We start from the raw sequence: 15,429 nt of genomic DNA, 5'->3' as shown, positions 1-15,429 counted from the left end.
ATGTCCCTGTTGGCTTCACAAGGCACAGATGAATTCTTGAGCATCGCAGCTTCTTTGCTTCATTTTTTTTCTAGATTTAAAGTTTTGGGAAGGAGTAGCTGATTTTGCACCTGGGCCCAAATTTCCAGGGATATTGAAATTAAGGATCAGACTCTTCTGCGAAGACCTATACAATACGGAACTCCCCTAAACATAAGAAAGCGCCCCTTCAAATTCCCTACAAATTTCTACCACATCTGGCATACTGAGGATCATCTTTGCCAGTCCAGAGACGGGAAGAGAAGAAATAGCTTTTCCTAAAAGTCATTATATTATTCTACAAGTGAAGAAGCAAACATCTCTATTTATTTAGAGTTTCACCTCCTAAAAAGGCACAGAACTGAAAAACACATGCTTCTTGATGCATTAAAATTTAATAGTCCATTAGATATGCAGAGAGTACATTAAGTCTGTCTGGATAGAAATAGTGAATGTTTGTTTCAGTTTTTGTAGCCCAGCTTCTGAACTTCCTTCTTATATCTGCAAACAAGAATTGTTTACTTTGTACAGAAATCTTTACTGTGTGCTTTACTGTGGTGCACAGGTTGCTAATATTTGACAAGCTGAAAATTCAAGATACATCCCTTCTTAGCTTCCATTACAGCTGTGTCTTGGGCACATGATGTAGACACCACAACCAGATGTGCCTGCCCAGACCTTGGACTGGGAGCTGGGGACAATGATGGAGATGGTGAGGAAGGCTCTCTGGCAGTGGGGCAGTAGAGGTGGTAATACTGGTGGCTGCCCCAAGTGCTGAAGGCCAGTGGTGTTAGTGGTACAGGTGTCCAATGTTTGGTACTGGTCAAGAGTTGTCCTCTGTAAGCCAGTTCTGCAGTATGATTTTAAATGGTTTTCCTGGCTGCATAACCATGATCTTAATTGTCCAATCATTCTGGTGATTCTGATACCCAGTGCTCTTTTAATGATCTGTTTCTTTTCTTTTTCTTTCTTTTTTTTTTTTTTTTGAAACGAGTCTCACTCTGTCGTCCAGGCTGGAGTGCAGTGGCGCAATCTCAGCTCACTGCAAGCTCTGCCTCCCAGGTTCACGCCATTCTCCTGCCTCAGCCTCTCGAGTACCTGGGACTGACTACGGGCGCCCGCCACCACGCCTGGCTAATATTTTGTATTTTTAGTAGAGACGGGGTTTCACAGTGTTAGCCAGGATGGTCTCCATCTCCTGACCTCGTGATCTGCCCACCTCGGCCTCCCAAAGTGCTGGAATTACAAGGTGAGCCACTGTGCCTGGCCAATGATCTATTTCTTTTAAATAAACCAGAGTAGGCCTCTGGGAACTAAAACTCTGATTGATACATTTTGATACATATTGGCACCTTAGTATCCTCTGAAAATATCCGGCGTAGGGCCTGATATCCAGTAGGAGCATGGTAACTATTTGTTGCAGACAGGAAGAAAAGAAGGAAAGAAAAGGAAGGAAGGAAAGAAAGAAAGAAAAAGGGGTAGAGCATGTAGTTTGGAAGCTAATTGTTTTATCACAATTTGTAATTTTGAGGGGTTGGGTTCACCCAAAAAGAAAAATAGAGGGTACCTGGATAGTTTACTGCAAAGTCACAAGGACAACAAAGATTGGAGATTTATTTTGAGAGAGTCAAAAAAGAATAGATGTGATTTGGCCTTACGAGAAAATGCAGGGTCAGGCGCAGTGGCTCACGCCTGTAATCCCAACACTTTGGGAGGCCAAGGTGGGCAGATCACTTGAGGTTAAGAGTTCAAGACCAGCCTGGCCAACATGGTGAAACCCCGACTCTACTAAAAATACAAAAATTAGCCAGGCATGATGGTGCATGCCTGTAATCCCAGCTGCTCGGGAGGTTGAGGCACGAGAATCATTTGAACCCGGGAGGCAGAAGTTGCAGTGAGCCGAGATGGTGCTGAAACAGAAATTAAAAGAAATTAAAGAATGCGTAAGCAAAAACTCAGTTGTATGTAAGAAAACCCAATTCCCCCTGAGGAAGAGAAAGAGTTGGAGTCCTTTAAAATTAACTGCCTGTTTTTCTGTGGCTAATGAGACTTATCTCTCCCTTTCCCAGGCATTGTGAAGACTGTTTCTCTAGCTGTGCAGCTGCAAGGTCACTAGACAGATAATCTGAAGTCGTAAAACATGTTGTGCCTTAAAAAGTAAGAAATAATATAATGCATGTCTCAATTGAATAACTGTCTTTGTTTCTCGCTTCTGTAATATGCTTCCCCCTGCACAGATCTCCCCCCGCCCCACGAAATGCTTAAAAGGTAGCTTGACTCTTTGTTCAGAGCTCAGTCCTTTGGATGTTAATCCAACTGGGTCGGTGCACCTAAATAATTAAATAATTGCTCCTCAACCCCTCGGTCTCTCTGATTCCTTCATTATCCCGCAGCATCGCCACTGCACTTCAGCTTAGGCAACAGAGTAAGACTCTGTCTCAAAGATAATAATAATATAATTAATAAAAAATATAAAACTCAGGTGCAGAAATAAAAATGTATATATTATTATATAGGTTCTGCTACATGTAATAGATACTCCAAATAACTGTTTTAAATAAGATGAAAATTTAATTCTTTCTTATGTTACAGTAAGAAGTAGATGGTAAGAGAGATGGTGTGGAGGTTTTATTTCATGAGATCACTCAGGAATCCAAGTGTCTTCTTATTATTCTATAATACTTAGCATATTGCCCTTACCTCCATGGTCCAGTATGGTGCACCATCATATCCATCTCCATGTTCCAAGCAGCAGGATAGAAAATGGAGGCATGGGGCCGGGCACGGTGGCTCATGCCTGTAATCCCAGCACTTTGGGAGGCCAAGGTGGGCAGATCATGAGGTCAGGAGTTTGAGAACGGCCTGACCAACATAGTGAAACCCCATATCTACTAAAAATACAAAAATTAGTCAGGCATGGTGGCACATGCCTGTAATCCCAGCTATTCAGGAGGCTGAGGCAGGAGAATCACTTGAGTCCAGGAGGTGGAGGTTGTAGTGAGCCGAGATCATGCCACTGCACTCCAGCCTGGTGACAGAGTGAGACTCTGTCTCAAAAAAAAAAAAAAGAAAAGAAAAAAAAAGGAAAAAAGAAAATGGAGGCATGATGGGAATGCCCCTTTCATTATGACACATCCCAAAAGTTAAACATTTTACTTCCCATCACATGCAATTGACCAGCTCTTAGTGACGTGGCCACACTTAACTGTAAGGGAGGCTGAACAATGCAATCTTTATTATTATTTTTTTCGACATGGGATCTTGCTATGTTACTCAGGCTGGGCTTGAACTCCTGGGCTTAAGCAATCCTCCCTTCTCAGCCTCCTGAGTAGCTGGGACTACAAGTGTACACCACTGCACCTGGCTAACAATGCAGTCTTTATACCCAACCTCCATGCAAATGTCTACCAAAAAAAGGTTCTATCATTATAAAAAGGGGAGAAAAGATATTGGAATGCTGCCAGAAATCTCTGATTCAATAAATAGCAGACACACTTTAACATATGGAATTAGAACAGAATATAATGGAATTTTCTCTGAGGGTTGCTGAACATAGCTGAATGTGAGAAATGCCTCTAGATGTCATTAAATGGGACATTCTTCATTTATAATGAAATAGGTTGAGAAAAGACACAGGTTATGCTCAGTCTCAGCCCTAATGTCTATATTCAGAAAAGAAAAGGGTAAAAGACTGGACCGAATGAAAGTTTAAAGGTCTTTCTCACAGCAAATTGCTAATGTGAAGAGTTGTATGCTTGGCAGAATGTAGTGTGACTACCCAAACATTCCTCTGGGCCTTTGTAGAAAATGTAATGGCCCATAAGGAGGTCAAAGAGGCCTTGGGGCTAGAGGAGACAGAGAAAATACCAAGGGAAATTTACAGATGACAAACGCAAGGGCAAATTGGGTGCAAGTTCAAAACTGTGGAAACAGCATGGAGAGATAGAGGGCACGTGTACATCTGAGTTATCTTGCAACATACTACTAGGGGCAAAGAGTAATGGGGTTCTAAGCCACTGGTGGTAAAGGCAGAGGGCAGTTTCCAGAGAATGACAGCTGAGGAAGAACCTCCTGGGGCCACTGCTGCCCAGCTGACAGGCTCCTGGGCTGACTCTTCTGAATTGTACTTTTTTTTTTCTTTTGAAATGGAGTCTCGCTCTGTCACCCAGGCCGGAGTTCAGTGGCGCAATCTCAGCTCACTGCAACCTCTGCCTCCTGGGTTCAAGCAATTCTCCTGCCTCAGCCTCCCCAGTAGCTGGGACTACAGTCACCCCCCACCACGCCTGGCTAATTTTTTTGTATTTTTAGTAGAGACAAAGTTTCACCATGTTGGCCAGGCTGGTCTCGAACTTCTGACCTCAGGTGATCTGCCTACCTCGGCCTCCCAAAGTGCTGGGATTACAGGCATGAGCCACTGCACCCAGCCCTGAATTGCACTTTCTGAAGCAGTCTTCAAGCAGCTGATTTCCTAGAAGAGTGGTAATACTTGGCCTGTCTTCACCACTGTAAATGTCTGCAAAAGCTTTGGATAGATATTCCCTCTTCTCATGCTCTCAGGTTGATTATAAAGATACACATGTCACCCAAGCCACCTACGTGTGTCATAGGGTGCTCTGGTTTAGTGTTAGTGTTTTTGTTTCCTTCCATTTTTGGACTATTGCAATTAATTTGAGGTGAGGTAAATCCAAGGAAAAACATGGCTGAAGGTCTATCTATTCTTATTTCTAGTGCAATAACATCTTGTACACTCTTCCCTATTCTGGACCACTGAACCCAGGAGGTAGAACTTGCAGTGAGCCGAGATCGTGCCACTGCACTCCAGCCTGGGTGACAGAGTGAGACTCCATCTCAAAAAGAAAGAAAGAAAGAAAGAAAAATGGACTATTATTATTTCCAGAAATTATTCATAGGAGTCTTCAATAGTGAGCATCTGTTGGTGTGCATAGCATGCCTTCCCTCCCTTATTCTGGTAACAACACATTTCCTTACTCTGGGGAACTACCATTCTACATGGTTTCATTATTCCTGGTCCCACTCAGTTGCCAGGGCATAGAGATGGGCATTTGACCCAAGCAGGGACAATCCTGTGGTTCTTCATTCCTTTAGCAGCAGTGACTGTTTCAAAGTGTGGGCCTGGAATCCAAGGAGGGCCAATCAGAATTCTTCTTTGGCAGTGACAGGCAGATGTGGCTGAAAATAGTCAATCTTTCTGCCAGGGCTGCTAAGCTGAGATAATGAAAGTTTTGTGATAGAGGCAGCCATCTTCCCTGCCTGCAAAGAGGAAGCCCATCTGAGATGGGAAGCAGTAAGGCCAATACACAAAAGAAAGAATGGAGAGGTTGTGGGATAGGGTGGGGAGGAGAGGGAGAGACAGAGGCCTTATGACTCTAAGTTTTGGGGGCTGGCAACCCTCAGCCAGTTCTTACAGAGAACTTCCCAGTTTGGAAGTTGGAAATGTCTCTTTTTGTGCTTAAGGTAGTTTGAGTTGAGTTACTGTCATTGTAACTGAAAGAATCATGGCTAATATGCCCTATATACTAAATTTGTTCTTTTCCCTTTCCTTCCTGCCCTTGGACTCCTTTCTTTCCAGGCCCCTGTGTGACGAGGCCCTTGGTCTGAATCGGGACTGCCAGACTCTTCTGCAGGACCTGTCTCTCTTCTTGTCTTGGTTCAGGATTTTTCCATCTCTAGCTAATATTCCTGGTTTCCTTGGTTGTATTGACCAACTGTGACCCACAATCTTTATTTCCTCTTTTCTTCCAAAGTCTCTCCTCAACAGCCCTCCAATGTCTGTCTCCCTTATAATCACCTTAATCAACTTCCATGTTTTCCTTTGAGCAGATGTAGCCAGCTCAGTTTTTACTCTTTGTTCTGCAGCTGGTTCCCTTATGTCTTTATTTTCTTCAGATCTTAATCTTGAGTCATTTGCATAAATGTGTTTCTTTTTGACAGGAATGGTACATACCAGCCCCCTTATATCCTGCCAACTTTTTTTTTTAATACAGAAGACACTTCTCTGCTATGTTTCATATCCAAAACACTTCCTGACTACACTTTTTTTTCTTTGAGATGGAGTCTCGCTCTGTCGCCCAGGCTGGAGTACAGTGGTGTGATCTCAGTTCACTGTAGTCTCCGCCTCCTGGGCTCAAGTGATTCTCTGGTCTCAGCCTCCTGAGTAGCTGGGATTACAGGTGCCTGCCACCACACCCAGCTAATTTTTGTAGTTTTAGTAGAGACAGGGTTTCTCCATGTTGGCCAGGCTGGTCTCGAACTCCTGACCACAAGTGATCCGCCCGCCTCAGCCTCCTAAAGTGCTGGGATTACAGGCATGAGCCACCACACCCGGCCCTGACTACACATTTCACTCTGGTGGTTTAGAGGTGCCTCATCTCCAGCTGCTCCCTATCTCAAGTAAAATTATCAATCCCTAATGAAAACCACAGCAATTATTTAATTTTGTTAATTTTCATGCCAACAGTTCTATTTCTCACTTATTCTCCAGTTCAAGCCTCAAACCAGGCCCTTTTTGGAGGGCTGTTAAATTTTCACTGTTGTTTAAAGGCAAGTCACACAGCTCTTCCTTAGATTACTCTTCCAATTAATAAATGCAGAAGGAATAAATAATATAAAAATTCAACATTAGGCAAACACCATAGTAATAACTGTTGCAAGAAAGAACCACTAATGAATGCTAGAATTAGTGGACAAAGTCCAGTGAGAAACAGGATATTTGCATAATTTCAAAGAATCTCCCCACAAGATATTTATTCATTATGAAGAGGGAAAATTGTAACTCTACACTGGCGAATCCTAGAAGTGATCAAGGTCAACATCACCATGAAGACCCATCAGTATCACATAACCATGCTGTGATGCACTGAGAAGTGAACAACATCCCTTCTGTGATGTTCTTGACAAAAAATGTACAACCTCAATCTAGTCATGAGAAATCATCAGATAAACCCAAATTGAGGAACAGTCTGCAAAATAACTGACCAGTACTCTTCAGAAATGTCAGGGTCATGAAAGATGAAGAAAGACTGAGCAACAATTACAGACTGAAGGAGACGAGGGAGACAGGACAACTAAATACACATAACCCAGGATGGGATCCCAGACAGGAAAGGGACAGAGGACAAGTGATGAAATTTGAGTAAGGCCTGTAAATTAGGTAGTATTATTCTATCAAAGTTAATTTTCTAATTTAGATCACTGCCCTGATTTATTGTCTGAGTTAATAGCCTAGGCACCAGGATTTTTTTTTTGCGGGCGAGGGAGTCTCGCTCTGTCACCAGGCTGGAGTGCAGCGGTGCAATCTCGGCTCACTGCAACCTCTGCCTCCCGGGTTCAAGTGATTCTCCTGCCTCAGCCTCCCGAGTAGCTGGGATTACAGGTGCCTGCCACCACGCCCGGCTAATTTTTGTAGTTTTAGTAGAGACGGGGTTTCACCATGTTGGCCAGGATGGTCTCTATCTCTTGATCTCGTGATCCGCCTGCCTCCGCCTCCCAAAGTGCTGGGATTAGAGGCGTGAGCCACCGCACCCGGCTGGCATCAGGATTTTTAAAAGCTGCATGGGTGGTTTTAATGTGCAAAGGGAGGAAGTATTACATATCAACAACAATCTAGACACTAGCTTTGGCTTGTCCCACTACTCTTTTGTACTAAATCCTTGCAAAGATTGCAACTAGTCATTGCCTTGAGGGAACTCTGTGATAGATTGGATTTCCTAGAGGGAAGACATGGCAGATCAGACAGGAGCCAGGTCTGAATGGTGCTTCATGCTCTAGCTACTCAGGAGGCTGAGGCATGAGAATCACTTGTACCCAGGAGGCAGAGGTTGCAGTCAGCCAAGATCGTGCTATCGCACCCCAGCCTGGGTATATACATATGCTTACATACATACTTATGCATAAATTTAACCAAAGAGGGTAAGATCATACACAGACAACTATGAAACGTTGATTTATAAAATTATAGAAGACACAAATAAATGAAAATATATCATGTGATCATGGATTAAAAAAATCAATATCGTTAAAATGTCCACACTACTCAAATAGAGTCCCAAATAGAACTCTTACCTGATAGGTCAACAATGTAACCAGTCAATAACCAATGTTTTTCTTGTGAACAAGTAAGAATTCCTGAACAACTTTTGTATTTTTGTGTGTGTGTGATTTGTTACTCAAAGCAATCTACAGATTCAATGATATCCGTTTCGAAATTCCTTTATCATTTTTCACAGAAATAGAAAAAACAACCCTAAAATTTGTATGGACCCACAGAAGATCATGAATAGCTAAAGCAATCTTGAGCAAGAACAAAGCTGGAGGCATCACACTTTCTGATTTCAAAATATACTATAAAGATGTAGTCATTAAACAGTATGGTGTTAAACAGTATGGGCGACAGAGCGAGACTGTCTCAAAACAAACAAACAAACAGAAAGTTCAGAGATGTTTTTCATCAACTCTTTGAGAGGTCCAGGCAGGATGGAGCATGAGACGCCCTTGGCAAAGGCCAGCTCAGTTACACATCCTTGTGTTGCTTTGCTCTCCTTTGTTTTCCTCCCACTATCCTGTACTACTGCTCCTGGAATCACATTTCTGAATAATGACTTGCTCACAAGTTCCAAAGGCTCCTGGTTTTGTTTTTGTTTTTTTGAGACAGAGTCTCACTCTATCACACAGGCTGAAGTGCAGTGGCACAATCTCAGCTCACTGCAACCTCTGCCTCCTGGGTTCAAGCGATTCTCCTGCCTCAGCCTCCTGAGTAGCTGGGATTACAGGCATGCACCACCAAACTAAGTTTTGTATTTTTAATAGAGATAGGGGTGTCACCATGTTGGCCAGGCTGGTCTCGAACTCCTGACCTCAGGTGATCCTCCTGCCTCAGCCTCGGAAAGTGCTGGGATTACAGGTGTGAACCATCGCACCTGGCCCAAAGGCTCTATTTCTGAGAGAACCCAGGCTAAGATGTCTTCAGTGAAAACAATAAAATCACACAAAATTAGGATAATCATGGAAAATCCAGGATGTCTAATTTGGGGATAAGATTGTCTTCTGTTATTTGAGCTATCTGTCCCTCTTTTCTTCTTTCAAATGGAAGGCAAAATGGCTAGTCCAGTATCAGCTTGCTTTTTTTTTTGACCAGTCTGCTTTAATTCTTCAAATTCCCTTTGCACTCTCTCTCCTTCAGTGGTTTCATTTGCAGCTGACAGCTAACCCTCATTACCCCCTTGGCCGAAGTCAGAAGAAAATAATGAGGCTTAAATAATTTTTCTACTCTGTTTAAACAAACTCCCACTGGCCAGCTGCTGCCGCTGTTGTGCTTACAACCCTCCTTTTTTCTTCCAGCTTCTGAATATCTCTGCTGATAGCTAGCTTCCACCATCGTTCACCTTCTGCCCAGCCCACCTGCTACCCAACTTCCCCGTCCACGCCTCACACCTTGCAACTTTCCTCCTGTGCCTCACCACCGTTCACTCCGTCAGCCTCTCTTCTTCACACCTGCCACTCATGAGCAGTTTACGCTTTCCAAGACAGCAGCCATGCTGTGACGCAGGTGGGAAAATAATCAATGAACAAATAGTCCCTAAGGGCCATTTGACTTGTCCAAGACTACAATCATTCACGTATTCATTTGGCAAACATGTATTGAGTGTCTAATATGTGCCGCACATTGTTCCGGTGCGGGGTGTACAGCAGTGATAAAAGAGACAAAAAAAATTCCTGCTCACATACAGCTTACCTTTCAGACAGTGGCAAATTAGTGATAGAGCTGGGACACAACTCTACATCTCTTTATTTCTAAAATAGTCCTTTCTCTATACCTGTTTCCCTAATGGCAGACATGGCACTCATTCTATATCTCATGGTGTACTAGGCCGTTCTTGCATTGCATAAAGAAATACCTCACTTTGGGCGCGGTGGCTCACGCCTGTAATCCCAGCACTTTGGAAGGCCGAGATGGGCGGATCACGAGGTCAGGAGATCGAGACCATCCTGGCTAACACGGTGAAACCCCATCTCTACTAAAAATACAAAAAAATTAGCCGGACATAGTGGTGGGCACCTGCAGTCCCTGCTACTCAGGAGGGTGAGGCAGGAGAATGGCATCAACCCGGGAGGCAGAGCTTGCAGTGAGCCCAGATCGTGCAGCTGCACTCGAGCCTGGGCAACAGAGCAAGACTCTGTCTCAAAAAAAAAAAAAAAAACAAAAAAAAAACCTCACTTTGGGAGGCCGAGGCGGGCAGATCAGGAGGTCAGGAAATCGAGACCATCCTGGCTAACATGGTGAAACCCCATCTCTGCTAAAAATACAAAAAATTAGCCGGACATGGTGGCATGCGCCTATATTTCCAGCTACTCGGGAGGCTCAGGCAGGAGAATCGCTTGAACCTGGGAGGCAGAGATTGCAGTGGGCCAAGATTGCGCCACTGCACTCCAGCCTGGGTGACAGAGCGATACTCTGTCTCAAACAACAACAACAACAACACCCACAAAAGAAATACCTGAGGCTGGGTAATTGAGGAAGACAAGAGGTTTAATTGGTTCATGGTTCTGCAGGCTTTATAGGAAGCTGGCGCCAACCTTTGCTTGTCTTTTGGGGAGGCCTCAGGAAGCTTACAATCATGGCAGAAGGTGCAGGGGGAGCAGGTGTGTCACACAGCAAAAGCAGGAGCAAGAGGGAGTGCTGGGGGGAGGTGCTACCCAGTTTTAAATGACCAGATCTCAGGAGAACTCACTCACTATAGAGAGGACAGTACCAAGGGGGATAGTGCTAAACCATTCGTGAGAAATCTGCCCCCATGATCCAATCACCTCCCACCAGGCCCTACTTCCAACATTGGGGATTACAATTCAACATGAGATTTGGATGGGGACACAGATCCAAACAATATCACAATGGCTAAATTTTCTTATGAGTCATCGGGCTCCAGATTAAAATTTGTCATTGATTCACTACTCCCAGCCACCCCAGATTCTTCTCTGTTGAGCCTCTACAACTGTTAAGGATGTTCAACCTACCTTTCCCTATCTTGGCTGGAACTATGCAAACTGAAGGGCAGGAAATGCCAGGTGGAGCAGGAGAGGCTGAACCATGGCTGAACCATTTCAGCCACGGTTCCACTCTGAAGGGACATCAGCTTTTTCCCACTGATGTCCCTTTTCTTTGTGATTTTGAAAAGACTTTGCCACATTTCTCAGACCTGTGACTTGATATTTATTATAACGAAAAACCTTTTCCTTATGTAACAGCCTGCTTTAAAACCATCGTTATTATTAGTAGAGGTACAATTAGTTAATGAGACCACTGATATCTGTGATATCTGTGTAGGAGCAGTTCAGCTTTACCGAAGAGCCAGTTGATTCAGCTAGAGGCTGAGTGAGATACAATGTCTCCTACTTCCCCTCATTCCCTGCAAAGGCAATGGGAAATGACGGAGTGCTTTTTCAGTTCAGTGTGTACCCTCTTTGGGAATTTGCCATTGTTGTTTTTGAAGATAATGGAATTTATGCCACAGGATCCAGGTAGAATGCTATCCAACTTTTCTGTTTTCTAACAGAAATTAGGGCAAGGGCATCTCCATTTCTTGATGGATCTGAAAGATGAAGAACTGGCCACTCAGCAGCTGACCTGCATTTACAAGATCTGATAAGCCTCCCCTCCCCTCTCTCAATGGTTTGCAGCCTGACTACACAAGATGATTGGAGGGGTTTAAGATCTGCTTCATTTGAAAGAAAAAAAATCCCTATTAACCTTTAGAGATTAATTGCTTTGGATTGAGTATTGCCTCTCTTAACATCTTCTAAAATGTAAATACTTTCTGGAAGGAAGGAACACATTACGTTTTTTACACATTAGTGAGTTTTATCACATCAGCCTCCTCTATTTGAAATAGCTGGGCAGAACGAGCTCTAAATCTCTATCTTTAGGGAGGGAGGTAGAGAGCCTTGGAAGATATGAGGGATACGCTAGTCCCAAGGACTAACACAGGGCTGGCTGACCCTTTGTGATTACCAAGGACACGGTAAGGGTGATGCTGGGAGGGGAGGGGAGGGAGAGGCCCTGAGGGTTGTCGCTTCTGTCCTGGGGCCTTTGATTGCTTTAGCTCCCCTGTGGACATGTGGGAATAAAGCTGCTTCTGAGAGGTCCCTATGACCCCGGCAGCCAGGTTAAGCAATATTTCTCAAACTTTTCCCCACTCTGAGCCAGGCCACAGGCAATCATGACAATGTGTCCTAGACGTAACTGGTTTTACTTTGGCTTTCTCCTAAAGCAGTGGAAAAAAAAAAAAAACCAGTAAAAAGGATATAAACAAGATAAGTTCACGGAAGCATGGCAAGGCTCCCCGTTGCCTCCCTTTTATTTTAGGGAGGCCTTTCTGGAGTTCCATGACCTTGCTAGCCCTGCAAAGATGCCTTTTATGCTCCAAATCAGAAAAAAACATACACTAGCATACAAGGCTATGATTTTACTACCCAGAAAGCTACATCTCTCAGACCTGCCTGGGTTTACAGCCTGGAAATTCTTATTGCATCGGCTCTGGGAAAAAAATCTCACTTATCTAAGCTGATGCTTCTGGGGTGAGTTTTCCATTCACGTCCACTAGGGACAATGGCCCACTATGCATTCAGATCTTTCCAGGGGTCAGACACACTTCCGTCAGTAATGGCTGCCCATTCTGGTGGTGACTTCACACAGCAAAGGGAAAGACAAGAGTAACAGCAATTCTGGAGAAAAGAAGCTTCTAATACACTCCACAAAGGAGGGAGGGCTCCAGGCCGTGTTCCCTTTAAAATATATATTTTTGGTGCTAATGAAAAATAACAAAATAAACTGGCACAACAGGTGACTTTATATAGCTTAAACTAATTTCCAATTGCTATGAGGTGTACTAAAGGTCGTAGTAAGGATATCTATAATGTATTCTCTTTAATTTTATGTATGTTAATTACAAATGCCTGGATTTCCAACATTGAGGAATATAGGTTGCCTTTAAAATTGTGATTTTTCGTAGCTGTTTTGGTTTTCATGTTGATAAACTTTTAAAAATGCCATCAGCAGTCTAAGACATGACTTTCTGTACTCGGAGGCTAAAGACGTGGTGACAGTTTTTCTGCTTTCTAACTCCCCCTATCTTTTTGGAACAGGCTGTGACTGTGGGCGGACTATTCTGATACCATTGCTTTGGCTGTGCGGTATTTTGCAGCTTAAAAGTAAAAGTTCTCTCTGTTATCATTGAACATGCATCCTTGCTAAACACACAATGGATGTTCTGTAGATATAAATGAGTTCCTTCAATTCTGATGTTTCAGTTCAATGGCTCTCAAATTTCAGCATGCATTTACATCACCTGGGAAGAGTTCTAAAATGCACACATCTAGTGTTACCTACAGAGTATATGATTCAGCAGGCTGGGTTGGGTATCAAGGATCTGCATTAATCTGTGGCCTGAGGACTGCATTCTGAAGACAAATCATTACCTTAGGGCAGAGTTTCTCAACCTCAGCACTATTGCCATTATGGTTGGATGATATTTGTTGTGAGGGCTGTTGTCTGCATTGCAGGATGTTTAACAGCACCCGTAGCCTCTCCCCACGAGATGCCACTAACATTTTAATCCTCCTCCCACTTGTGACAACCAAAAATGTCTCCTGGAGTGGTGGATTTGAGAACCAATGCCTTAGAATCTTTGTCCTTCCCAACTCAAATGTCCTGGCCACCTGAGCATTCTTGTGACGAATTTGTGTATGGGGCTCTTGTCCCAAACATATTTTTCTTTTCTTTCTTTCTTTTTTTTTGAGACAAAGTCTTGCTCTGTTGACCAGACTGGAGGGCAGTGGTGCGATCTCGGCTTACCACAACCTCTACCTCCTGGGTTCAAGCGATTCTTCTGCCTCAGTCTCCCAAGTAGCTGGGACTACAGGTGCATACCACTGCACCTGGCTAATTTTTGTATTTGTAGTAGAGATGGGGTTTCACTATGTTGGCCAGGCTGGTCTCGAACTCCTGACCTTGTGATCCACCCACCTCAGCCTCTCAAAGTGCTGGGATTACAGGCGTGAGCCACCACACCCAGACTCCAAACTTAGTTTTCTTAGGAAGCTGTATGATAAAATGAGGGTTTTCTTAGTCACTTAGAGCTTAAACTAAGGGCACATGACCATTACCAACCCCCCAGACAACTTTTATTTGACCAGAACAGATTTGGTTCATTATTAAAATGAGTTACTAACATTTGCAACTTGAGATATATCCATTTTTAAAATTTTCTTGAAAATTCAGGAGATCTGATCACACGGGCCCACACTCCTATGAATAGATTCTGGGCGTGGTGTCTCGTGCATGTAACCCCAGCACTTTGGGAGGCCAAGGTGGGTGGATCACTTGAGTCCAGGAGTTCAAGACCAGCCTGGGCAACATAGTGAAAGCTCATCTCTACAAAAAATAAAATTTAGTCGGGCATGGTGGCTCATGCCTGTAGTTGCAGCTACTTCGGAGGCTGGGGTGGGGGGATGGCTTGATCATCCCATTGTGTTCTGGCCTGGGCAACAGCGTGAGAAGCTGTCTCAAAAAAAAAAAAAAAAAAAATCAGACGGACTGGACTAGGGGAAGAGCTGCACCTAGAGAGCCAGATGTGCTCTCCAGTTGCCCAAGTCCCCACGTGTCCGACCTCACTCATGTACAGTACCTGTCTGGCTCCTAAGGGCACTGGATTTACAATTCTTGGTTTAAAGTTTCATAGCCACTAGCTAAGAATGCAGCATTCCTTATGGAACAATTCTACTAGGGTTGGCAATGTTGGTGCTAACTCTTGAATGTATTCAAAGATTACTTTGATTGCAAGGCAATGGGCCAAGTGTTTTAATCTCCTATGATCACGATATCTTCTCATTTTATGATACATTTATGTGGAGTTTTATGTGTTTTCCCTTTCTGGAGCAAAACTTGGATCATAGGCACTCAGCCTCCTTTGCACATTCCACGAATGCTTTTGTTGTTTAGGAACACAACTCGGTGTGTCTGTTGAGAATTCTCTCTCAAGTGTTAGTTCTTGATCTGGCTAATGGATCATTTCTAGGAAACAGAGAAACAAAGGAAAAATAGGTGTGTGATGCACTCCCAGCCACACTGTCTCTCATCCCACCTGAAATAACAATGTCATATGTAATGATTAGAGACTGAGAGTTGCATGGAGGAAATGTCATGGTGGGGAGGGCTGGCTTCTTGGGCATGCAGCCTATGCCTGTGAAGGTCCTGGGCTTGGTTTAACGCTCTGTTGCTGCCATCTTGAAATTCTTAAGAATTTTTGAACTGTAAGTCCTGCAATTTCATTTTGCACTGAGATCCACAAATTATGTGGTTAGGCCTGTCTAAAAGAGGGATTTAAAACTTTATTATCG

The 15,429-nt window shown here is 43.7% G+C and overlaps 3 annotated features.

The window, feature by feature from the left end:
* Window positions 11,875-12,274: a transcriptional cis regulatory region, noted in NCBI's record as "candidate enhancer chr7.4042 targeted for multiplex CRISPR interference". NCBI's record gives its function as "positively regulates PRKAR2B gene expression with high confidence in K562 cells {active_cell/tissue: K562}" and the evidence as "EXISTENCE:mutant phenotype evidence [ECO:0000015][PMID:30612741]".
* Window positions 12,486-12,799: a transcriptional cis regulatory region, noted in NCBI's record as "candidate enhancer chr7.4041 targeted for multiplex CRISPR interference". NCBI's record gives its function as "positively regulates PRKAR2B gene expression with high confidence in K562 cells {active_cell/tissue: K562}" and the evidence as "EXISTENCE:mutant phenotype evidence [ECO:0000015][PMID:30612741]".
* Window positions 12,971-13,642: a transcriptional cis regulatory region, noted in NCBI's record as "candidate enhancer chr7.4040 targeted for multiplex CRISPR interference". NCBI's record gives its function as "positively regulates PRKAR2B gene expression with high confidence in K562 cells {active_cell/tissue: K562}" and the evidence as "EXISTENCE:mutant phenotype evidence [ECO:0000015][PMID:30612741]".

This window comes from Homo sapiens, chromosome 7, assembly GCF_000001405.40.
Source record: "Homo sapiens chromosome 7, GRCh38.p14 Primary Assembly".
Lineage (NCBI taxonomy): Eukaryota > Metazoa > Chordata > Mammalia > Primates > Hominidae > Homo > Homo sapiens.
This window is presented reverse-complemented; position numbering and strand designations above follow the sequence as displayed.